Source organism: Homo sapiens, chromosome 7 (genome assembly GCF_000001405.40).
Source record: "Homo sapiens chromosome 7, GRCh38.p14 Primary Assembly".
Classification (NCBI taxonomy): Eukaryota; Metazoa; Chordata; class Mammalia; order Primates; family Hominidae; genus Homo; species Homo sapiens.
In genome coordinates, this window is record NC_000007.14 from 39658795 (window position 1) to 39684492 (window position 25698).

Below are 25698 nucleotides of genomic sequence, written 5' to 3' on the forward strand. Positions count from 1 at the left end.
CTGGCCTCAAAATCCTGGGATCAAGCAATCCTCCCACCCTAGCCTCCTGAGTAGCTGGAACTACAGGCGTGCGCCACCGAGCCTGCCTCAAGCAGACTGCATACAGATGCATATGTTTTTGGTGTAATCAGTTGTCTGATATGAACTGAAACTTTTAAGTCTATGACTTCATAAATTGCTATTATTTAAAATTTTAAGATATGGACCGGGTGTGATGTCTCATACCTGTAATTCCTGCGCTTTGGGAGGCCGAGGCAGGCAGATCACTTGAGCCCAGGAGTTCCAGACCAGCCTGGGGCAAAATGGCAGAACCCCTCTAGAAAAAAACACAGCGAAAAAATTAGTCAGGTATGGTGGTGCTGCTGTGGTGGGGATGAAATGGTCTGAGGCAGGAGGATTGCTTGACCCCAGGAGGTCAAGGCTGCAGTGAGCTGAGATTGCATTGCACCACTACCCCTCAGCCTGGGCAAGTGAGAGAGACTCTGTCTCAAAAATAAAAAATAAATATGATCAAATCTTAAATTTAGATTTTTCAGTACTCTTAGGAAGAAAAATATAAGTGCTACAAGATGTTTTATGATTTTCAGGGAATTGTCAAGTCTTTTTTTTTTCCCCTAGTTTGTAACTTCACGTTATGTTTTGTATAACTTCAACTTAAGATTTTTTACTTTTCAGATACACTTTTATCTTTCATGAAAAGGAGTTAACAGTAGTGAGCAGGCTGTAGTTCGTTATTAACTTAATTATGACTCACAATGCAGCTTACCCTACATGATTCGTAATTTTATCGTAGCCAAGAGAAAATGGAGTTTCTTTGAACAGCATCTGTCTCCCTTCACTGCTGGTAATTTGTGTGTTATTATTAATCACTGTTTTTGGAATCTCTGGGTAAATAGGCACTAAATAAGCCCAAAAATATGAGCAAAAGTTGTCTGTTAATTCATTGGCCACTGCAGAAAGGAGTACTAAAGCCCAGAAAAGAGTTCTGAGCTTCCTTCTATCTCTCACTAGCGTGTTCTCTCTAATTTGCATTCCTTAAAAATGAGTTGCACTTGCTTTAGTGGCATGTATATTTTTTAAAAATACAGATAAGTTTAGTGTGGCTCCTGTATAAAAATGACTCTCAAAAAATAGTAATAAAAGGAACATGCTCTCCAAGGGAGCTATGTGCAGCTCTTGGCCCTTGGATGCCTGTGGCTGGGAGTCTGAATCTGTCTGCCCATGGCCCCCTCTTTAAAAAAATTTTTTTTTTAATTAAAAACAATTTAAGGCCAGGCACAGTGGCTCACGACTGTAATCCCAGCACTTTGGGAGGCCCAGGCAGGCAGATCACAAGGTCAGGAGTTCAAGACCAGCCTGGCCAATATGGTGAAACCCCACCTCTACTTAAAAAGTACAAAAATTAGCCGGGTGTGGTGGTGTGCACCTGTAGTCCCAGCTAGTTGGGAGGCTGAGGCAAGAGAATTGCTTGAACCCAGGAGGCAGAGGTTGCAGTGAGCCAAGATCACACCACTGAACTCCAGCTGGGGCAACAGAGACTCCATCTCAAAAAAAAAAAAAAATTGTAAAATGACTCCCACTTGTGATCCATTTCTTTAGAAATACATAACACTTATAAGAGGCAGTCTCTAGTGCTTAACTCAGAAGAATTCTTATCAAGAAGGAATATTGAATTTTATCCAATGCTTATTTCTTTTCTGTCTCTCTTTTTTTAATGAATTTGCCTTCTCTGCATAACTTTTTCTTTTCACTTGCATTGATTATATTGATTTTCTTATTGGGCCCATTCATGTGATTGTATTTTTATGCTTACTATTAATCTAATATTGCATTTTTGGAATACAGTTGACCCTTGAACAACACAGGTTTGAACCACAATAGTTTACTTACGCAGATTTTTTCAATAAATATATTGGAAATTTTTTTACAGATTTACAACAATTTGAAAAAACTTGCAGGTGAGCTGTATAACCTAGAAATATTGAAAACAAGATAGGTATATCATGAATGCATTAAATATATGCAGATACTAGTTTATTATTTACTATCAGGTACACAAATCTTATAAAAAGTTAAAATTTATCAAAATACATGCATACTATATTAGTCTGTTTTCATGCTGCTGACATGAAAGACATACCCAAGAGTGAGTAATTTATAAAGAAAAAGAGGTTTAATGGACTCAAACTTTTCCTGTGGCTGGAGAGACCTCACAATCATGGCAGAAGGTGAAAGGCATGTCTTACATGGTGGCAGACAAGAGAATGAGAGAGCCGAGCTAAAAGGGAAACTCCTTATAAAACAATCAGATCTCATGAGACTTATTCACTACCAAAAGAATAGTATGGGGGAAACTGCCCCCATGATTCAGTTATCTCCCAGCGGGTCCCTACCACAATACCTGGGAATCATGGGAGCTACAATTCAAGTTGAGATTTGGGTGGGTACACAACCAAACCATGTCATTCTGCCCCTGGCCCCTCCCAAATCTCATGTCCTCACATTTCAAAACCAATCATGCCTTCCCAACAGTCCCTCAAAGTCTTAACTCATTTCAGCATTAACTCAAAAGTCCACAGTTCAGTCACATCTAGACAAGGCAAGTCCCTTCAGCCTGTGAGTCTGTAAAATCAAAAGCAAGTTAGTTACTTCCTGGATACAATGAGGGTGCAGGCATTGGGTAAATGCACCCATTCCAAATGGGAGAAATTGGCCAAAACAAAGGGGCCAAAGGCCCTATGCAAGTCCAAAATCCAGCAGGGTGGTCAAATCCAAAATGATCTCCTTTGACTCCATGTCTCACATCCAGGTCACTCTGATGCAAAAGGTGGGTTCCCATGGTCTTGGGCAGCTCTGCTTCTGTGGCTTTGCCAGGTACAGCCTCCCTTCTGGCTGCTTTCATGAACTGATGTTGAGTGTCTGTGGCTTTTCCAGACTCATGGTGCAAGCTGTCAGTGGATTTACCATTCTAGGGTCTGGAGGACAGTGGCCCTCTTCTCACAGCTCCACTAGACAGTGTCCCAGTGGGGACTTTGTTGGGGGGCTTCAACCCCACATTTCCCTTCTGCACTGCCTTAGCAGAAGTTCTCCATGAGGGCCCTGCCCCTGCCTGGACATCCAGGCGTTTCTATACATCCTCTGAAATTTAGGCAGAGGTTCCCAAACCTCAGTTCTTGACTTCTGTGCACTCACAGGCTCAACAACACGTGGAAGCAGCTGCCAAGGCTTGGGGCTTGCACCTTCTGAAACCACAACCCGACCTGTACCCTGGCCCCTTTTAGTCATAGCTGGAGTGGCTGGGAGGTAGGGCACCAAGTCCCTAGGCTACACACAGCATGGGTTGGGGGGCCCTTAGCCCAGCTTTTGAAACCATTTTTTCCTCCTATGCCTCAGGCCTGTGATGGGAGAGGCTGCCACAAAGGTCTCTGACATACCCTGGAGACATTTTCCCCATTGTCTTGGTGATTAACATTGGGCTCCGGAGACATTTTCCCCCGTTGTCTTGGTGATTAACATTTGGCTCCGCAGATTTCTGCAGACGGCTTGAATTACTCCTCAGAAAATTGGCTTTTTTTTCCTATTGCATTGTCAGGCTGCAAATTTGTCAAAGTTCTATGCTGTTTCCCTTTTAAAACTGAATGCTTTTAACAGCACCAAAGTCACCTTTTCAGTGCTTTGCTGCTTAGAAATTTCTTCCACCAGATGCCCTAAATCATCGCCCTCAAGTTTAGAGTTCCACAGATCTCTAGTTCAGGGGCAAAATTCTCAGTCTCTTTGCTAAAACATAGCAAGAGTCACCTTTACTCCAATTCCCAACAAGTTCCTCATCTCCCATCTGAGACCACCTCAGCCTGGATTTCATTGTCTATATATCATTATCAGCATTTGAGTCCAAGCCATTCAACAAGTCTGTAGGAAGTTCCAGACTTTCCCACATTTTCCTGTCTTCTTTGGAGCCCTCCAGACTGTTCCAATCTCTGCCCATTACCCAGTTCCAAAGTCGCTTCCACATTTTTGGGTATCTTTACGACAGCACCCCACTCTACCAGTACCAGTTTCCTGTATTGGTCTGTTTTCATGCTGCTGATAAAGACACATCCAAGACTGGGTAATTTATAAAGAAAAAGAGGTCTAACAGACTCACAGTTTCCTGTGGCTGGAAAGGCCTCACAATCATGGCAGAAGGTGAAAGGCACATCTTACATGGTGGCAGATGAGAGAGTGAGAGAGCCAAGCTAAGTGAGACTTATTCACTACCATAAGAATAGTGTGGGGGAAACTGCCCCCATGATTCAGTTGTCTCCCACTGAGTCCCTCCCACAACATGTAGGAATCATGGGAGCTACAATTCAAGATGAGATTGGGTGGGGACACAACCAAATCATATCACATACAAACACAACTATATGTGGTGCCATTTGCAGTCAAGAGAAATGTAAACCAATGTAAAGATTCAGTATTAAATTATAACTGCATAAAATTAAGTGTAGTGCATATGATACTACTGTAATAATTTTATAACTACCTCCTGTTGCTATTGTTGAGCTCAAATGTTGCAAATACCTACTTCAAATGCCATGTGACACTAATTATCTCTGTGTGAGCAGTTCATCTCTCCAGTAAATGTAGTGTTTGTACAACACTGTAAACTTTAAATAACACTGTGGGACCCATAAGAAATGTTACTAGTGATGCTGGAAGTGCTCCCAAGAAGCAGAGAAAAGTCAACATTACAAGAAACAAGTTTAATTGCCTGATATGTACCATAGATTGAGGTCTTCAGCTGTGATTGCCCATCATTTCAAGATGAATGAATCCAGAGTAAGGGACATTGTAAAAAAAAAAAAAAGAAAAAATATATGAAGCCTTCACTGCAGCTACAGCAGCAGGCACAAAAGCTTTGCATTTGTTGCAAAATACATTTTTATCAAATTGAAAATTCAGCTTTTATGAGGGTGCAGGGTTGCTGTAAGAAAGGCATACCTTTCCAATCTGTCCCTGGGTCTAACGAAAAAAAGCCATAGCTGTAGACTCCAATGTGATTCCAGAAAAAGCAGTGTCATTATATGACAACTTAAAGCAAAAGGAAGGTGAAGGATCTAAAGCTGGAGAATTTAATGCCAGCAAGGGATGGTTTGATAATTTTAGAAAGAGGTTTGGCTTTTTAAATGTCAAGATAACATGAGAAGCAGCTTCTGCCAACCAAGAGGCAGCAGGTGAATTCCCAGAAGCCATTAAGAAAAACATTGAGGAGAAAGGATATCTGCTTGAACAGATTTTTAATGCAGACAAAATTGCCCTTCTGGAAAAAATTTTAAAAGCCACAAGGAACTTCTGTTGGTAGGGAAGAAAAGCAAGCACCAGGATTTAAGGCAGGAAGGAATAGGCTAACTACTATTTTGTGCAAGTGCAGTCGGGTTTATGATCAGGGCTGCCCTTATCTGTAAAGCTGCTAATCCCCAAGTCTTGAAAGGAAGAGATAAACACCAGCTGCCAGTCTTTAGGTTGTTGTACAACAAGAAGGCATGGACAACAAGAACCCTTTTTCTGGATTGCTTTCATCAATGCTTTGTCCCTGAAGTCAGAAAGTACCTTGCCAGTAAAGGATTGGTTTTTAAAGTTCTTTTGATATTGGATAATGCCCCTGGCCACCCCAAACCCTATGAGGTCGAAACTGAAGGCACTGAAGTAGTCTACTTGCCACCAAACACTACGTCTCTGAATTCAGCTTCTAGATTGGGGGTTGTAAGGACCTGGAAGGCTCATTACACACAGCACTCTGTGGAAAGGATGTCAGTACTATGGAGGACCCCAATAGAGGAACATCATGAAAGCCTAGAAGGCTCACACCATTGAAGATACCATCATTGTTATAGAAAAAGCTGTGAAAGCCATTAAGCCCCAAACAATAAATTCCTGCTGGAGAAAACTGTGTCCGAATGTTGTGTATGACTTCACAAGATTTATGACATAGCCAGTCAAGGAAATCTTGAAAGAGTTGGTGGACGTGCCAAAAAAAAAAAATAGTGGGAGGGGGAACAAAAGTCTGCTTGATAGAGATCAATGCTTCTGAACTGGTGCCAGGTGATGAGAAAGGAGTCCTAGAAGAAGCAAACCCATAAAACAAAGTGATGTTAGATAATCTAGCAGAAGGGTTCTTATTATTCAAGACTGCTTTTGACTTCGTTTACAACATAGACTCTTCCGTGATACAAGCACTAAAACTAAAGCAAATGGTGGAAGAAGGATTGGTACCACATAGAAACATTTTTAGAAAAATGAAAAAGCAAAAAAGTCTAATTACAATGCATTTCTTTAGCTACAATGAGTGTGCCTGCTTTTTCTGCCTCCTTTCCACCTCCTCCACCTCTTTTTCCTCTGCTACCCCTGAGACAGCAGGACCAATCCTTCCTCTTCCTCCTCCTCTTCAGCCTACTCAACATGAAAATGATGAGAATGAAGACCTTTATGATGATCCACTTTCACTTAATGACTAGTAAGTGTATTTTTCCTTCCTTAAAATTTTCTTAACATTATCTTTTCTCTAGCTTACTTTATTGTCAGAATACAGTATATAATACATATAACATATGTGTTAATCAACTATTATGTTATTGGTAAGGCTTCCAGTCAAATAAGCATTTGTAGTTAAGTTTTGGGGGAGTCAAAAGTTGGATTTTCGACTGCACACAGTGGGGTTGGGGGAGTTGGTTCAGTACCCCAATCCCTGTGTTATCCAAGAGTCGACTGTATAACACACTATACAGTAATGGATTATTTGTGTGCTGAGAGGTAAATTTCAGGTGTTGGTATTTTATGGAATTTCTCTGTTCATAAATGAGACTGCAATGTAGTTTTTTTTTTTTTTGGTGTGATTATCGCTATTTTATACCACTGACCTTATAAAATGATTTGGGTAGCTTTTCTGTGCCACCCGTGAGAATTATCTTTTTATGTTTAAGAGAAATTGCCTCTAACCTTTGTGTAAGGTCATTCTTACTAGTTTCTTCCATAGTGGTGATAAAGTTTAGTTGGCAAACACTTAGGATGTGAATTTTTTTTTTTTAATCCTGGCTTCACATCAATAGTGTGTCCTAGGGCACATTTTTAAAGCTTGATATGGCTCAATTTTCTCACCTATAAAATGTGAATGATAGGTCTAAAGTTGTTTTGAGGGTTTCATGAGATAATTAAGTACGCAGTTGAAAAAGTGTCTGACACAGAATAAGCACTCAATAAATAGGAAGATATTTATTTTTCCCCAAGGTTTTTGTCCTATCCAGTTATTTGGATTTTTTAATCTCCCTTTTTTTTCTTTCTTTTTCCTGCTTTCCTTGGAATTTTTCTCTTAGCTTGCTGAACTTTGTGACTGGTTGACTACTTTGTTTAAGATAGTCCTAGAAGAGAGTAAAAATTCAAAAAAAATGTATACTGGGTGTCAGGGCCACAAAGGTGACATTTTCTGACTTTACTCTCTAAGTTATATATAATGAATATATGTTACTTTTATAGTCATGAAAAAACACTGAGGATAGGAGGAGCTCAAGTTCCACCTGTGCCTGTGTGTGTTGGAAGGTGATGAACTCAAATGGTAGGATTAGGCGTATTCAACAGCATTCAAGATCACCTGTGGAAGTGAGTCTGTGCTAAACAGATTTGTGATGGAGAATGTAACTGATAATAGTTGTCATTAAACATAGTTTCAGGTAATATATTTTATATTCAGTGCCAAAGGGATTCTTTAAATTTAAAAAGTGACATTCGCAATGCCTTACTTATACAGGAAGGATCTTAACAGTACATACTAAGAGGTTAACCTGACTGGATGGATGTGGGGTGCCACATATACAAGTCAGAATTTAAGAGATTACTACTTTATATTTTCTTTCTTTCTTCTTAGCTGCTCGCTGTTACTCCTTAAAAAGAATTGGCTATTCACCCGCAGTTCCACAAAGTAAGAATTCAGCAGGTGGTCTGTAAAAGAGCTGTAGTAAAGGTTAATTGGCACAAAGGGAATCTTTGTTGCTATAGAGTCAGTCTTTAGCTTTACATTCCTGGTTTGTAAAAATAATGTCAATGCTTAATTTTCAAGGCTTTGATCAATACATCTTCTTATAAATTTTGAGTTTTAGCCAGCTTGTCCCAATGCTGAAGAAAAAAAACATTTTTGGGGAAAAAAATCACTTCAATCCTTCTCTGTAGCAGTTCAGACCATTAGCTTTCCTTTCTCTTCTCTCCTATTTCTGCCTCACTCCCACTCTTTTTGATGCCAGGTCTTGCCCCATCTTAAACTTTTGTGTTTATTTATGATTCTTTGGTCATCCATATCAGAAAACTGATTTACTCTTGAAGTTGGTATTGAAAAATAGTATTCTTTAAAACTCAGGCTAATTTTAATTGAATGTCTTGGAATTTTTTTTATACTTTCTAAATTTGAAATATTTTGGGGTTCCAAATCAAGTCAACTCAGGATTTTAACTCAAGTTCATGGTAATGAAAGCCAGTAGACTAAATATATGTGTCTACCTCCTCTTATCCCCAACTCCCTGTGAAAAGACAGGAAAAAGAATTTACAGACAGAAATTTGTAATTCTGTAATAGCACTGAGAATGAGAACAGATGGAGTGACCATCAGCAAAGCAGAGACTTTCTAGGTTGTAGAAGACAGAAGACAGATGGTGCTGATTGATGAAGCAGGGCGAAGGAAGGGCTACCCAGCATTCCCGTGAGGGAGGCCTGTAGGGGGAATCTCTTCTTCCCCACTGAGTCCTGAAGAGACTTTAAGCAATGAGTCAATAGGAACAGAGGGCAGAAGAGATGATAGGACTTGCTATTAATTAAAGGAATATAAGTGAAAAGCTAGCTTGATATCCTGCCCACACAACCAGCCCATACAAAGATTGCAGCAACATCTGTTCCATGCTAATTTTGGAAATCTATTTCGAAAAACATTTCTTTTTGAACTCACAGCCTGGGAGGACTAGGAGTTCTAATGAACATGTTAACAACCCAGGGTAAACTCTATTCTTTTGATATTTGGAGAAGGAGCCAATCTGTCAACCTGTTTCTTGCCCATGAACCTAAAGTGAAACTTTAAATACCCAGTGAATTTAAAGTGTCTTCCTGATCTGTTGTGAGAAGCAGATCTACCCAACAACGGAGGAAACTTACTATAGTGGACTGGGAGAGCAAGATAAAAGAAAGTCTAGCCAATGGTGACATGAAATTACACAAAATGTGATACAAGATATTATTGCCAGATGAGTAAAGGATAAGAACTAGCAATTCACAAAATAAATACTACATAGAAAAAGTATCCACCCTCTTTAAGAAATCAGAGATATAATTAGAAATAACAATGAGATATTTTTCACAGTATACAAGTAGCAGGTTTTTTAAAAGAATACACAATGCCAGTAGGGATACTAGCAATACTAGCATAGTTACTGTGCTAAAGTACAGCACTTTAAGAAAGCATTTGGACAATGTGCATGATAAACCTTAAACAGTCAATTTATTAATTTTCCATTTCTTAGAGTCTATCTCATGGAAAGTACTTTAAATGTAGAAATAGGTGGTCATCCATTATAATTTTGAAGAATTCAAAACAGCTCTAATGTCTTATATTATGGTTTATGGTAAGTTAATTGCTTTGTGTCTACAGGATGATATATTACATAGCCATTAAAAATTACAGCTATGAAGTCAGTAAAACAACATAAGGCTGGGCGCAGTGACTCATGCCTGTAATCCCAGCACTTTGGGAGGCTGAGGTGGGTGGATCACCTGAGATCGGGAGTTGAGACCAGCTTGACCAACGTGGAGAAACCCCATCTCTACTAAAAATACAAAAATCAGCTGGGCATGGTGGCGCATGCCTGTAATCCCAGCTACTCGGGAAGCTGAGGCAGGAGATCACTTGAACCCAGGAGGTAGAGATTGTGGTGAGCCGAGATCGCACCATTGCACTCCAGCCTGAGCAACAAGAGCGAAATTCCATCTCAAAAAAAAAAAAAAAAGAAAAGAAAAGATAAAGTAAGGCCAGGCGCAGTGGCTCACGCCTGTAATTCTAGCACTTTAGGAGGCCAAGGCGGGCGGATCATGAGGTCAAGAGATCGAGACCATCCAGGCCGACATGGTGAAACCCCATCTCTACTAAAAATACAAAAATTAGCTGGGCATGGTGGCGGTTGCCTGTAGTCCCAGCTACTCAGGAGGCTGAGGCAGGAGAATCGCTTGAACCTGGGAGGCAGAGGTTGCAGTGAACCGAGATCGCACCACTGCACTCCGGCCTAGCGACAGAGCAAGATTCTGTCTGAATAAATAAATAAATAAAATAAAAATACAAGTGGGACGTAAGTAGTAAGGAATGCAAAAGGCAAAATGATGTATAAGAATTTAATACATCCTTTCCCTCCCCCTCTTGCTCCATCTCTGTACTTGATTTTAAGATCTTTGAAGTCAAGGATCTTGACTTGCTCACCTATGAACCTATCCCCCACCCTCTCCCAATGCCTAGCATAGTACCTGACTCAATAAATACATGTTGGTGCAGAATATAGTCATAGGAAAAAGAAAAAGGAAATCCAGAAGCATACCAAAAGATCAGAGAAGCAGCTATACAAAGAGAGCCAACTTACAGATGAAACATGTGTTAAAGAGTGGGATTTAACAGATGTCTTCATGTAAACCAGAGGCTATGCTTAGATTTTTCTTTTAAAATATTTCATTTGTGGGCCAGGCACGGTGGCTTATGCCTATAATATCAGCACTTTGGGAAGCCAAGGTGAGAAGTTCACTTGAGGCCAGGAGTTCAAGACCAGCCTGAGCAACATAGTGAGACCCTGTCTGTACAAAAAAAATAGAAAAAAATTAACCAGGCGTGCCTGTAGTCCCAACTACTCAGGAGGCTGAGGCAGGAGGATTGCTTGAGCCCAGGAGTTTAGGGCTGTAGTGAGGTATAATAGCACCACTGCACTCCAGCCTGGGTGATAGACCGAGACTCTGTCTCTTTAAAAAAAAAAAAAAAAAAGCCTGCTAGTAAACTTTCTGTCACTATTCTAATACATGGTTTGATGTAAGTCTTAATCAGTTAAGCAAGTGCCCTACTCATTTTTAAACTGGATCATTCAGGCATGGTTAATTCAGTTATTTTTTCTGGCTGCATTTTTTAAAATTAACAAAGCTCTCATGGACAATATCAAGTTCATAAATATATCAATAACAGAAACTCAAACTACCAGGCTATATATATGCTTAATTTGTAGTAGCTCATACATAGAACCTAAAGCAGATATAAATTACTTAAATTATACTTTTAAAGATTAGATCTATTAAACATCTAAGCCTGCATTATTATTATTTTTGTAGAGACAGGGTCTTGCTGTATTGCCTAGGCCAAAGTACAGTTGTGCAATCTTAGCTCATTGCAGCCTCAAATTCCTGAGCTTAAGTGATCTTCTCACCTGAGCCTCCTGAGTAGCTAGGACTACGGGCGTGTGCCACCACATCCAGGTAATTTTTATTATTTTTTGTAGAGACAAAGTCTCACTGTGTTGCCCAGGCTGGTCTCAAACACCTGGTCTCAAGTGATCCTCCCACCTCAGCCTCCCAAAATGCTGGGATTATAGGTGTTAGCCACCATGCTCAGCTGAACATTATTTCTTTATTCAATTTTGTAAGCTGTTAAATTCAGTAAATAAAAACATCTATGTATTTAATTTCCAAATATGTAATACATTCACATGGATCAAAATTCAAAAGGTGATGTATCCTTCCAGAATTAGCATAGGAATATGGAAGCACACATATATCTTTGCAATTAATTATTAATGCTTTTCTAAACTATATCTTATTTTGAAAACACAGGGGTTTAAAAACAAATATTAAAATATAAATAGCAGTTTATGAGTCTTTTATTTCCTTTTCCACCTTTCAGGTTCTACCCTGTTACTTATTTCTCAATATTGCTGAAAACATTCAGGTCATAGTCTAGTAGCAAAACCACTGGGGCTGGGGTAAGAAAACTGCTTATTCTTAAGCTACTCTCAGATTTTTCTTATTAAATATTTTGATCTTTTAATAGATCAATATTGATTTCCATCATTTCCTTACAGTAACTCTTCTCTCCCCTCCTACTCCCAACTGGTCCCACAGAAGCTGCTTGTTTCCTTTCCTTTCCTTACCATAGTCACTTAAGCTAGGAAGTTTGTTGTTTTGGCTTAAATTCTCGCTTTCCTTTACCCCTCACAACTAATCTAGTTCATTTGACTCTTTTTTTTTCTTAATATCTTTTAGATCCATCTGTCCCACCTCCCTAGTCCTAACTCAAGTCATCATTGACCTGTAGCCTTCCACCTGTTCTTCCTGCCTTCTGAGTCCCAGTCTCTTTTTTTAAAACTCCTGGTGCTTCTCCATTGCTCTAAGGATAAAAATCTAAAGACTTGGTTTATAAAGTTCTGTCTTTGGCCCTTTTACTTTTTATAGCTTTCTTTCTTACTGTCACCCCAAGGTTCACTTAATTTGCTAATGCTTTGTCTTTCAAGTCTCAGCCATCACTTTCTCATGTGTTTTAGAAATTTTTTATAAGTTTTAACTGTGGTAAGGGCTTTACCTTTGTGCTACTGGTAATGATTTTGCACTGACTGTGGACTGAGTATATGTGGCATATAAAGTTAGGGTCTTCTAAAAAGACGCCTGAATATTTGTTACGCTTTATTGAATAATTATTTAGGCATATTAGATATCTTACATATGCTGTTTTATTAATGTTAACCTTAGTGTTACAAACAAGCTGAAACCCAGGGAGATAAAACTCGACCCTTCATTATGTTAAGATTCTGTGCTTTGATGTCTGACAACATGTCTGGCAAGTCTTATAAATAAATTTTATTTTGCAGACAAGGCAAAACGTTAAACCATCTTTAAGCCATCAACTACTGTACCCTTAAAACAGAATATTACTTTTCTTAGTTCAGTCTTTGTTATTATTTTGTGTTCTTCTTATTCAGTACAATTAGAGTAACGTGAAAATACTAAGTTGTTATGTTTCAAAAGTAGAAAAATGCCGCAGGGATTTTCTTTGAATGTTGTTCCTACCGAGCTTGATGGCGTATTTAAAATGGAGGGTTTAACTATTTAGGATGTCAGTTATAACTAATGTCATTTTTTTGACTTCCTTCCATCTCTTTATAATAAATTATTAACTAAATAATAAGGCTTTATTTGTAAATATTCAAAACATAGTAGTTAATTTGCCACTTAAAATGTCAAACATTTTTGAGACACCAAAAGCATAAAGAAAAATACTCATCAAAAAATATGTCAAGAAAATGAAAAGATAAGCCACAAACTGGAAGAAAATATTTTCAAAACACATCTCTGGAAAGGATTTGATTCAGAATATATAAAGAACTCTTAAAACTCACTTAAAAGACAAAACAAAAGTTTTTTAATGGACAAAAGATTTGAACACCAGAGTCATATGGATGGCAAGTAACTACATGAAAAGAGCTCAACATGATTAGTTATTAGGAAAATGCAAATTAAAAGGAAATACCACTACACATTCACTAGACTGCCTAAAATTAGAAGCCTGGGACAGTGCCAGGATGTGAAAGCAACTGGAAATCTCATACATTGTTAGTGGAAATGCAAAAAGGTACAGCCACTTTGAAAAACATTTAATCACACACCATACAACCTACCAGTTCTGCATCTGTTGTTTACCCAAGAAAAATGAAAACATGTGTAGACCTGTACACAAAAGTTTATGACAGCTTTACTTATAAAATTTTAAAAAATGGAAATAACATAAATCATGATACATCCAGACAATGGAATACTATTCAGTCGTAAAAAAAAAAAAAAAGATGCATGCACTGATACATGCAACAATATTTGTGTGTCTCAAAAGCCTTGTCTAACAGAAAGAAGCCAGGCATAAAAAGCTACATACATTATGATCCAAAAGGCAGAACAGTAAGGCCTGAAATCCTATCAGTGGCTGCCAGGGTGATGGAGAAGATTATCTGCAAAGGGACAAGAGGAAACTTTTTGGGGTAATGGAAATGTTCTGTACCTTGATTGTGATGGTAGTTACATGACTGTATACATTTATCAAAACTCATTAAACTATACACTTAAAAGGGTGAATTTTATTGTATGTAAATCAACCTTCCCTCAAAAAGTTCGAGTCAGTTTTCAACATATGGCAAAACACTTTCTCTACTAAAAATACAAAAATTAGCTGATCATGGTGGTGCACGCCTGTAATCCCAGCTACTCAGGAGGCTGAGGTGGGAGGATTGCTTGAGCTTGAGAGACGGAGGTTGCAGTGAGCCGAGATCGTGCCCCTGCTCTCCAGCCTGGGCGACAGAGCGAGACTCTGTCTCAAAAAAAAGAGAGAAATTATCTTCACAAATTTTATGGTGAAGAAAACTTTAGGAGACAGATCAGAAGACTTCTGAGTCAGGTGCTTTGTGTTTTGACTTACTAGGTTTTTTTTAATCATGAAGATATTTTTAATTTTCATAATTAATAGTCTTTTTTTACTGTCAGAGTTTTGTACCTTTACCAAAATACACTCTTTATGTCTCAAGAACAGGTTGTCTTCATTTATTCAAGTCATGCTTTATGTTACTTAAGTGTTATTATTAAACTGTCTTCATGTATATCTTACACAGATAGTGGTAATTTTATTCTTAGTTATATACTCTTTGTGAGTGAGGTTGTAAATTGGGTCTTTCATTATATATTCTGTCATTTGAGAAGAAATTTAATTGTATATGTTATATTCCTTATATAACCATTTACCCTTTGAAATCTCTTATTTGTAGTAATTTTGCAGTTGATTCCTTTGGTCTTTCTAGGTATGAAATCATATTATCAGTTAATAATGATCATTTGCCTCTTTCTTTCCTTTTCTAATATGGTACCACTTCCAGAACAGTGCCAAGTAAGAGTGATGCTAGCAGCCACCCTTATCTTACTCCTGATGTTAATGGAAGTGCTTTTATTTTGTCATTAAAAATGATTTTTAAGAGACAGGGTCTCCCTTAAGAGGGTTGGCCAGACCTAGTGGCTCAAACTTATAATCCCAGCACTTTGGAAGGCCGAGGCAGGTGGATTGCTTGAGCTCAGCAGTTCAAGACCAGCCCAGGCAACATAGTGAGACCTCGTCTCTACTAAAAATTCAACAAAGAAAATTAGCCTGGAAGTAATTACCTGGGACTACAGGCATGCACTGTAAATAAATAAATAAATAAATAAATAAATAAATAAATAAATAAATAAAAGGTTGAGGGGGGGTGGTCTTACTCTGTAGCCCAGGCTGTAATGCAGTGGCAAAATCATATCTCACTGTAACCTCAAACTCCTGGGCTCAAACCATCCTCCTACCTTAGCCTTCTAAAGCACTGGGATTACAGATTAGAGCCGCTGTACTGGGCCTGATTTGGGTTTTAAGACAGTTTCCATGTGATTAAGTGAACAATAATCTATTTCTACTTGTTTTATGAACAATTTTATCAAATATTATTCTAGAACCTGTAGAGATACTCATATGATTTTTTTCATCTATTAATATCAGAAATTATGACTTACTAAGCCATTCTCGTATCTGGTTTGAATCACACCTGGTCACTTGGGTTTATTCTTTTAATGTGCTAGATTCTATCTGTTAACATTTTTCACTTAGAATTCTTTGCCCCATATTCATGTGATAGTCCAATCATTCTATTTTGTCTTTATTCTATTTTTGTCAGTACTCTGCATCACTGTTAGCCTAGCTTGCTAAAAAGAATTTGGAAGCTTTCCCTGTGCTCTGAGACATTAAATAGTACAGATTGAGTATCCTTTATCCTAAGTGCTTGGGACCAGAAGTGTTTCAAGATTTTTTTGGATTTTGGAATATTTGCAAATGCATATTGAGATATCTTGGGGGATGGGACCCAAGTCTAAACATGAAATGCATTTATGTTTTATATACACTTTATACATATAGCAGCCTGAAGGTAATTTTATGCTTTTTTTTTTTTTTTTTTTTTTGAGTCAGAGTCTTCCTCTGTTGCCCAGGCTGGAGTACAGTGGCATGATCTCAGCTCACTGCAACCTCCACCTCCTGGGTTCAAGCAATTCTCCTGCTTCAGCCTCCTGCATAGCTGGGATTACAGGCACACGCTACCACACCCCGCTAATTTTGTTGTATTTTCAGTGGAGACGGGGTTTCACCATTTTGGCCAGGCTGCTCTCAAACTCCTTACCTCAGGTGCTCTGGCTGCCTTGGCCTCCCAAAGTGCTGGGATTACAGGCGTGAGCCAGTTTTTAATAATTATGTGTGTGAAACAAAGTTTGTATATGTGGAACCATTTTGCTGCTCTGTGGGAATGCTTGCATGAGAGAATCTGGGCATGTGCAGAAAAGATACATTGCAGCTGAAGAGAGCTAGCAGGGTCCTGGGGATGCTGAATAAACTGTATTGGGCACTTGCGTTTTGACCACATGAGGTCACATGAGGTCAGGTGTAGAATTTTCTACTTGTGGCATCATGTCAATGCTCAAAAAGTTTCAGATTTTGGAGCATGTCCGATCTTCAGGTTAGAGATGCTCAACCTGTATTGATGATACTTGTTCTTCTGTCAGTTAGGAAAATATACTTGTGGGCCTGGCACAGTGGCTCAGCCCGTAATCCTAACATGGAGGCCTAGGCGGGAGGATCGCTCGAGCCCAGGCGTTCAAGACCAGCCTGGGCAACACAGACCCTGTCTCTACAAAATACTTTAAAAATTAGCTGAGGGTGGTGCGTGCCTGTAGTCCTAGTTACTCAGGTGGCTGAGGTGGGAGGATCACTTAAGCCCAGCAGGTCAAGTCTGCAGTGAGCTGTGATGGTACCATTACATTCTACACTCTAGCCTGGGCAACAGAGTGAGACCATGTCTGGGAAATTAAAAAAAAAAAAAAAAAAAAAACTGTATATCTCCTTTTCTTGGTCATGTATATTCTACCTCTTCTGAAATTGTTCATTTTATATTACCTGTGTTTTTTTAATTGAGCAAATATTCTTAATGCAGATAGGGAGTATCATGTGTGAGTTGTTTATATGAAATACTTTCCATTCACTAAGACGGCCTTTACCTACTTGAAATTTATAATGATTTGATAGGGGCAGAACTTTAATGATCATAAGTCTTTTTATTTTTTTTGAGGCAGTCTCACTCTGTCACCCAAGTTGGAATGCACTGGCCTGATCTAGGCTCACTGGAAGCTCCGCCTCCTGGGTTCACGCCATTCTCCTGCCTCAGCCTCCCGAGTAGCTGGGACTACAGGCGCCCACCACCACGCTGGGCTAATTTTTTGTATTTTTAGTAGATACGGGGTTCCACTGTGTTAGCCAGGATGGTCTCGATCTCCTGACCTGGTGATCTGCCTGCCTCGGCCTCCCAAAGTGCTGGGATTACAGGCATGAGCCACCGCACCCAGCCGATCATAAGCCTTTAATGCACCGTTCAGATCAGAGGCAAGGGAAATGCTTCCTTGAATCAGTTTATTAAAAAGGACTCTCACAACTTTTACCAGCCAATATTTTTATTAGACTGAAGCCTAAAACAGGTTATGTATCCTTTATCTGAAATGCCTGGGATCAGAAGTGTTTGGGATTTTGGATTTTCTTCAGCTTTTAGAATATTTGCATTATACTTACCGGTTCAGCATCCCTAATCCAAAAATCCCAAATGCTCCTATGAGCATTTCCTTAGAGGGTCATATCATCACTAAAAAATGCTGGATTTGGGAGCATTTCACATTTTGGATTTTTGGATTAGCTGTGCTTATCCTGTAATGAGCTTCTCTATCGAAAATCTAAAGAAGATAATAATGAATTCTGGACATACAAAGATCATTGGGGTTTTTGTTTTGGCAGGCATGGGGTATTTGACACCTTACTTGGTAGAGTATTCCTTAGTAAGTATTGAAAAAACGGGTTGATTGTTTTTTAGAATAATTTTTAAAGTTTAAGATAGAGAGTTTAGAGTCTGGATTGGAGATCTGTGGTCCGAAGCTCCTTGACCCACTTTCCTGTGTATGGTAAGCAGTAGGCTGAGTAATGGCCCCACAAAATATCCATGTCCTAACTCCTAGAATCTGTGAATGTTGCTCTGTGTGGCAAAAAGGAATTCTGCCAGCATAATTAAGGATTTTGAAGTGAGGAGATTATTCTGGATCATCTGGTTGGGCCAAATGAATCACCAGTGTCATAAAAGGGAAGTAGAGGGAGGTTTGAGTTTGGCTAAAGTAGAGGAGAAGGTAGTATGGCCACAGAAGCAGAGTGGTGCTTCTGTGATGCGGCCAGGGGCCAAGGGATGCCCCAGGCTCTAGAAGCGAAAGAGGCAAGGAGCACATTCTCCCCTGAAGCCCCCTCAAGGAACCAACCCTGTTGGCATCTTCTTTTTAGCCCTTTAAGATTCATTTTGATCTCATTGTTCAATTCCCACCTATGAGTGAGAATATGCGGTGTTTGGTTTTTTGTTCTTGCGATAGTTTACTGAGAATGATGGTTTCCAATTTCATCCATGTCCCTACAAAGGACATGAACTCATCATTTTTTATGGCTGCATAGTATTCCATGGTGTATATGTGCCACATTTTCTTAATCCAGTCTATCATTGTTGGACATTTGGGTTGGTTCCAAGTCTTTGCTATTGTGAATAATGCCGCAATAAACATACGTGTGCATGTGTCTTTATAGCAGCATGATTTATAGTCATTTGGGTATATACCCAGTAATGGGATGGCTGGGTCAAATGGTATTTCTAGTTCTAGATCCCTGAGGAATCGCCACACTGACTTCCACAATGGTTGAACTAGTTTACAGTCCCACCAACAGTGTAAAAGTGTTCCTATTTCTCCACATCCTCTCCAGCACCTGTTGTTTCCTGACTTTTTAATGATTGCCATTCTAACTGGTGTGAGATGATATCTCATAGTGGTTTTGATTTGCATTTCTCTGATGGCCAGTGATGAGCATTTTTTCATGTGTTTTTTGGCTGCATAAATGTCTTCTTTTGAGAAGTGTCTGTTCATGTCCTTCGCCCACTTTTTGATGGGGTTGTTTGTTTTTTTCTTGTAAATTTGTTTGAGTTCATTGTAGATTCTGGATATTAGCCCTTTGTCAGATGAGTAGGTTGCGAAAATTTTCTCCCAATGAGATCACATGGACACAGGAAGGGGAATATCACACTCTGGGGACTGTGGTGGGGTCGGGGGAGGGGGGAGGGATAGCATTGGGAGATATACCTAATGCTAGATGACGCGTTAGTGGGTGCAGCGCACCAGCATGGCACATGTATACATATGTAACTAACCTGCACAATGTGCACATGTACCCTAAAACTTAAAGTATAATTAAAAAAAAAAAAAAAGATTCATTTTGGGCTTCTGGCATCCAGTACTGTAACAGAATAAATGTGTGTTGTTTTAAGCCACTAATTTTGTGGTAATTTGCTGCAGCAGAAACGGGAAACTAATACATTGTGGAACCTGTTAACTAAACATACAAGGGCAGGATTCCATAGCCTCAGCACCTAGCACAGTGCCTTACGTAGTAAGGTAGGCCCTTGGTGTATTTTTGGAGAGAAGGAAAAATGGAGGAAAGAAGAAAGGAAATAAGTAGCTCGTATGAGCATGGTGTAGTTGTCTAGTTTCTGGATGAAGCAAAGCTTGAAGTGAGCTTGAAAACTTGAAGCCCACCCATCACCCCAAATAGGTTCTATAGTATTATTCTAGGATATCACTTTAAAAAGTTGAACGGTAAGAGACAGAAAATAATTGAGGAGCCAAATAAGTCACACAATTTGGAATTCAAGGACCCCTGTTCCTTTGAAGGGGAAAAATACAAAGGCATGTACATGTGGATAAGTTGTATTTTAATTAAAATTCAAGCTCATACCTCCAATTTCTAGTTTATATAAGGTACCAAGAACATAGTTAATTGCAGTTTTGCCAAGTAGAATAAATAAGTGGGCTTTGTTGATTTATTTTATGACTAGTTTTAATTATATTTTTTAAATAAAGTATACATTTACATGATACAAAAATCAAATGTACAAAATGGTATACTCTCTCACCTCTGTAGTGACTTAGTTTCCATTTTCACAGACAACCTTGTGTTACCATTTTAAAAAAAAATCCTTCCAAATATATGAACAGGCAAATCCTGAATGTTCCTTTTTTGTTTTAATGTTTTTAGGCAATGCATAGCATATGGGATATGTTGTTCTGTATCTTTTTTTTTTTTTCCACTTTAGCTCTGTGTTGGAGTTCCTTCTATTTCAGTGCGTAAAGAGCTTCCTCATTTTTTGTGGTTACATATTATTCCATGTATCAGATTTACAGTTCCACCAGCAATCATTGAATATGCCTATTTCTCTACACCACGGATAGACAAAAATTTTCTGTAAAGGGCCGACAGAAAATATTTTAGGCTTGCAAGCCACATTCTCTGTTACGTATTCTTCTTGGTTTGGTTTGATTTTAATTACAACCCTTCAAAAACAAAAACCATTCTTAACTTACAGGCCATACGAAAACAAGTCAAGGGGGCTCTGGTTTGCTGGCCCTTGCAAACATACAGTTATCAGTTTGGTGGATAAAACGTTATCCCAGTATAGCTTTATTTGTATTTATCTTATCAGTGAGGTCAAGTATACTGAGTCATTTGTATATCCTTTTCTGTGACTATTCATATTTTTTGCCCAATTTCCTGCAGTTTTTTATTTATAGTAACTATTTTAAAGACTAGTCAAGTGCAGTAGTGAGAAGTGCAGTATAGCTTTTTATATAGAGAAATCATCTCTTATCTGTAAAATGAATTGCAAATGTTTTCCACAGTTTTATCTTTTTACTTTGCTTCTAGAAGATTTTGCCATGCAGAATTTTTTTTTTTGAGACAGACTCTCTGTTGCCCAGGCTGGAGTGCAATGGCGCAGTCTTGGCTCACTGCAACCTCTGCCTCCCGGTTTCAAGTGAGTTTCCTGCCTCAGCCTCCTGAGTAGCTGGGACTACAGCCGTGCGCCACCATGCCTGGCTAATTTTTATATTTTTAGTAGATATGTGGCTTCACTATGTTGGCCAGACTGGTCTCAAACTCCTGACCTCATGATCACCCTCCCAAAGTGCTGGAATTACAGGCGTGAGCCACCGCGCCTGGCCAGAAATTTTTTTCAGTAGTACAATTTTTCAAACTTATGACGGGTTTTATGTAATACTTTAGACCTTCCCCACTCTAAGGTTATGAAACAGGCTGGGCGCCGTGGCTCACTCCTGTAGTCCCAACACTTTGGGAGGCCAAGGCAGGCAGATCACCTGAGGTCGGGAGTTTGAGACCAGCCTGACCAACATGGAGAAACCCCGTCTTTACTAAAAATACAAAATTAGCCAGGTGTGGTGGCATGCACCTGTAGTCCCAGCTACTCGGGAGGCTGAGGCAAGAGAATTGCTTGAACCTGGGGTTGGTGAGGCGGAGGTTGCAGTGAGCTGAGATCGCACCATTGCACTCCAGCCTGGGCAACAAGAGTGAGACTCTGTCTCAAAAAAAAACAAAAACAAAAAAAACACAAATATATATATATATATATAAACTAGCTGAGCATGGTGGTTCATGCCTGTAATCCCAGCTGCTCGGAAGGCTGAGGCAGGAGAATCACATGAACCCAGGAGGCAGAGTTTGCAGTGAGCCGAGAGTGCGCTACTGCACTGTAGCCTGGGTGACAGAGCGAGACTGTCTCAAAAAAAAAAAAAAGATTAAAAAAGATGATCAGTTCTTTCATATTTTTTTCCTTGTGCCTTTGTGATTTCATTTTGTCACTTAAATCTTTGATCTACTTAGGCTTTATATTGGTATGAGGAGAATAGATCCAACTTTTATTTTTTTCCAGTTGGCTTGACAATTGTCCAAACACTACCTGTTGAATTATTCTCCGTCTTCCCCCACCCCCATTTGAAGTGCCACCGTTTATTACACACTACACTACAGTATGTATTTGAATCTGGTTTTGTATATTCTGTTCTATTGATCTATCTAGACAGGCTTGCTTTTGAATTCCGGCTCCCTCGCAAAATTATCTGTGGTTATATTTCATTGAAGAAATTTAGATACAGTCAAAGAAATAAATCTACCTGCAGCCGGCATCTATACCCCTATTCTTTGCATTGTCTTACCTCCCATTACAAAGGAAGAGATGTCCCTGCTCCTGTTATGTTCCAGGTCCTAATTCTTCTGGTTCACTCCAGAACTTTGCTCCTAGAGTTCACTCTGTCTTCTAGATCATTAATTTATGCCTCTTTTGGATGATTGTTATGCAGACATCCCCTAATAACATTTAAAAAGCAGCCAAACAAAAAGCCCTTTTCCTAACAACACCTTCCCATTATGATTGCATTTCTCCATTCATCTTGAGAGTAAAAATCCAATTCTGTACCTTCTGTTTCTCCTCAACCCAAACCCACCCTATTCCTTTTTTTTTTTTTTTTTTTTTTTTTTTTTTTTTGAGACAGAGTCTTACTCTCTAGCCCAGGCTGGAGTGCAATGGTGCAATCTTGGATCTTGGCTCACTGGAGCCTCCCGGGTTCAGGCGATTCTCATGCCTCAGCCCTGCAAGTAGCTGGGATTACTGGCATGCACTACCCACCCCATTCTTACCTCAATTGGTGAAATGACTCTTCCCAAGATTAACAACAACCTCCATCTTGCACAGAATTAGCTCTTTTTTGTCTCTCCTCATATCTCACCTCAGTCGGTCGGCAGGATTTAAGTCAGCCAGCCTCAGTGACTGTGCGATTACTAGATCTCCTGCTGAACTAGCCTGTTGAGTTGTTTCAGGGCTCTTTCCTTTGCCACTTTCTCGTATCTATCTTCATCTTCTCCCTAAGAAAGCTCATGCCATTTTGTGACTTCAAATATCATCTGTAAACTGACGTGCAATTTTTTTTCCATCTCTACCCTCATCCCTGAACTCTAGACTAAAACATTCAGTTTTTCTTGTTCAACTCTAGTTGAAATGTCTAATGTGCAAGCAGAGCTTGGGATTTCTTTCCCAGACCTATTCCTTCTTGGTCCTTCTCCATCTTAGGTATAGATGCCTAACATTCAGATATTTGGGACAAAAACTTAAAGGTTAGTCTTGTTTTCTCCCATCCAGTCAATCAGGAAGTCCTATCAACTGTTTCTTCAAAATGTATTCCAAATAACATAGTGGTTAGGAGAGCAGGCTCCCTCAGTTTGAATTCTGGCTCGGTCTTGAGCAAGTTGACATCTGTGACCCAGATTCCTCATCTGTTAAATGAAGTTAAAATAGTACATATCGCCTAGGATTGTAAATATCTGAAATGTAGTACTCAGCTGAATTAGTATGTGCAGAGTGCTCAGAACAGTGCCTTGCACTTAGTGAGTGGTCAGTAAATGTTGGTTGTCCTCAGTATAGGTGGTATTAGTAGTTATACGGGAACTGGTAATACCATTGCTGCTGCTGCTGCTGCTGCTGTACCCCAAGCCTCTGTCCTCTCTTGCATGGATTACTGGGATAGCCTCCTATACTTTCAACTCTTGATACTTCCACTGTCCATTCTCTACACACCAACCAGGGTAATCTTTTTAAAAACACAAATTTTACCACTATCCTTCTTAAAAACTCCAGAGGCTTCCCATTGCAGTTCTAGTAAAATCCAAACACTTCCGGGGCCTTCAAGGCTTTTTGTGATTTGGCCTCTGCCTACCTGTCAATTTTACCTCCTCTTACTCTCCAGTCATTCACTAAGTGCTGTGGTTTAAATGTGTCCTGCAAATTTCATGTGTTGGCACTTTTTTTTTCTTTCTAAGACGGAGTCTCACTCTGTTGCCCAGGCTGGAGTGCAGTGGCACGATCTTGGCTCACTGCAACCTCCGCCTCCTGAGTTCAAACGATTCTCCTGCCTCAGCCTCCCTTGTAGCTGGGATTACAGGCACCTGCCACCACACCCCACTAATTTTTTTTGTATTTTTAGTAGATGTGGGGTTTCACCATGTTGGCCAGGCTGGTCTCCTGACCTCAAGTGATCCGCCCACCTCGGCCTCCCAAAGTGCTGGGATTACAGGCATGAGCCACTGCACCTGGCCATGTGTTGGAAATTTAATCCCCAAATTCATATGTTGATTGGCAGTGGGGCTTTGGGAAGTAATTAGGATTAGATAAGATCATCAGGGTAGGGCCCCCATGATGAGACTGGTGGCTTTGTAAGAGGCAGCAAACTTGCCCACTTGCCATGTGATGCCTTCCACCAGAAGCCATGTAGATGCTGCCACCATGCTCTTGGGATTCCCAGCCTTCAGAAGTGTAAGAGATAAATTTCTTTTTAAAAAATAAATTACCCAGTCTCAGATACTCTGTTATAGCAACAGGAAACAGACTGACACTAGGCTTCATGTACTCTGGCCTTCTTCTGCTTCCTAGAACATGCTCCCCACTCCCACCCTCTTCTAAGTTCTTTGTACTTGTTATTCCCTGTGTCTGGAGCGCTCTTCCCTCAGAGCTGACTGGTTTCTTCAAAACATTCAGGTCTCAGCTCAAATGCCACCTCTTCAGAGTCATCCTTGACCATCTGGTTAAAGTAGCTCCTCCCCCCATTGCTGTCTTATTTTTTTTCATTGCACTTAGCACTAATGGTATTTGCTTATTTGTGTATGTGTTTGTCTTAAGTTCCACATAGGCAGGGGCTATGGCTTGTTTATCATTCAAAACAATATCTAGACCAGGGCTTGGGAATTAAGTGGTGGAGTGCCAAGTCTTTTAAAATGGGGGTCGAGTAGTTTTTCCTTGGCAGAAGCTTCTTTTCCTGGATAGCCTCTTAATAGTCTGGAATGTGCAGCTCATAGTTATTAGGAAATGTTTGCACTTTGGAAAAACATCCTTGGAAATCTCTGTCTTTTCTGCTTCTGAGTCACAGATTGTGTTTTAAATTATTCTAGAAGGAAAAGTGTTTTAACCCAGTTGTAGTGACTGCTAAGTGTTTTCTTTTGAACACACACACACACACACACACACACACACACAACTCTTAGAGTATTAATTGATATGGTAATGCCCTGAGCTCATGTGATATGTACTGTTTTAAAAATAAAACAGTAGATATATTAGCTGTGACATGATTATAACTGCCAGCAAGTAATGATCATAATAAAGAAGTCACTTCCTGATGTATTTAGGAACACCAGCAACAGCATGCTTCATAAACTGGCTTAGACTTGGTATCTTTCAGACTTTTAGTTACCTGCAGTGTACTGTAATTTTCACTGTTTTTGAGCAGTGATAAGCACTCACAATCTAATGGTCATGTTCTCAATACCCAGGTAAAAGAGTGGCTGAATTTGTGTTTGTTGAGTTAAATTGAACTCTTAGCCTGTAAGTGTAAATTTTTTGCCATACGCTTAACAGTTCAAACTGCTTCTGCTAAAATGCTTTTGATAGAATGATAAGAACAGGATGAAAAAATGCATTTATGTATATGTGATCTCAGTTATGTTAAATGTAGATTGAAAGCAGTCTCCAAGGAGGTATGTTAGCCTGTTCATATTGCTAAATGGACAGTAGGATTATGGGGGATTTTTCTTAATACTTTTATATATTGGGCAAGCAGGCATATGGGAATGATTTATGGGTGAGACCTGAAGCC

General features: G+C 39.5%; 1 protein-coding gene across 3 annotated transcripts in view; it reads left to right on the plus strand.

Moving 5' to 3' along the window:
• RALA (RAS like proto-oncogene A) overlaps positions 1-25698 on the plus strand; it is an 84549-nt gene that overhangs the window by 35223 nt on the left and 23628 nt on the right. The window contains exon 2 of one of the 3 annotated variants that reach the window (XM_047420682.1): positions 1-6496. This exon is cut by the window's left edge and continues 26899 nt beyond it. The exons of the other annotated variants lie outside the window; for them this stretch is intronic. The gene's annotated coding sequence lies outside the window, so the exon portion shown is untranslated. The remainder of the gene's footprint in view (positions 6497-25698) is intronic. 3 annotated transcript variants of the gene reach the window in all.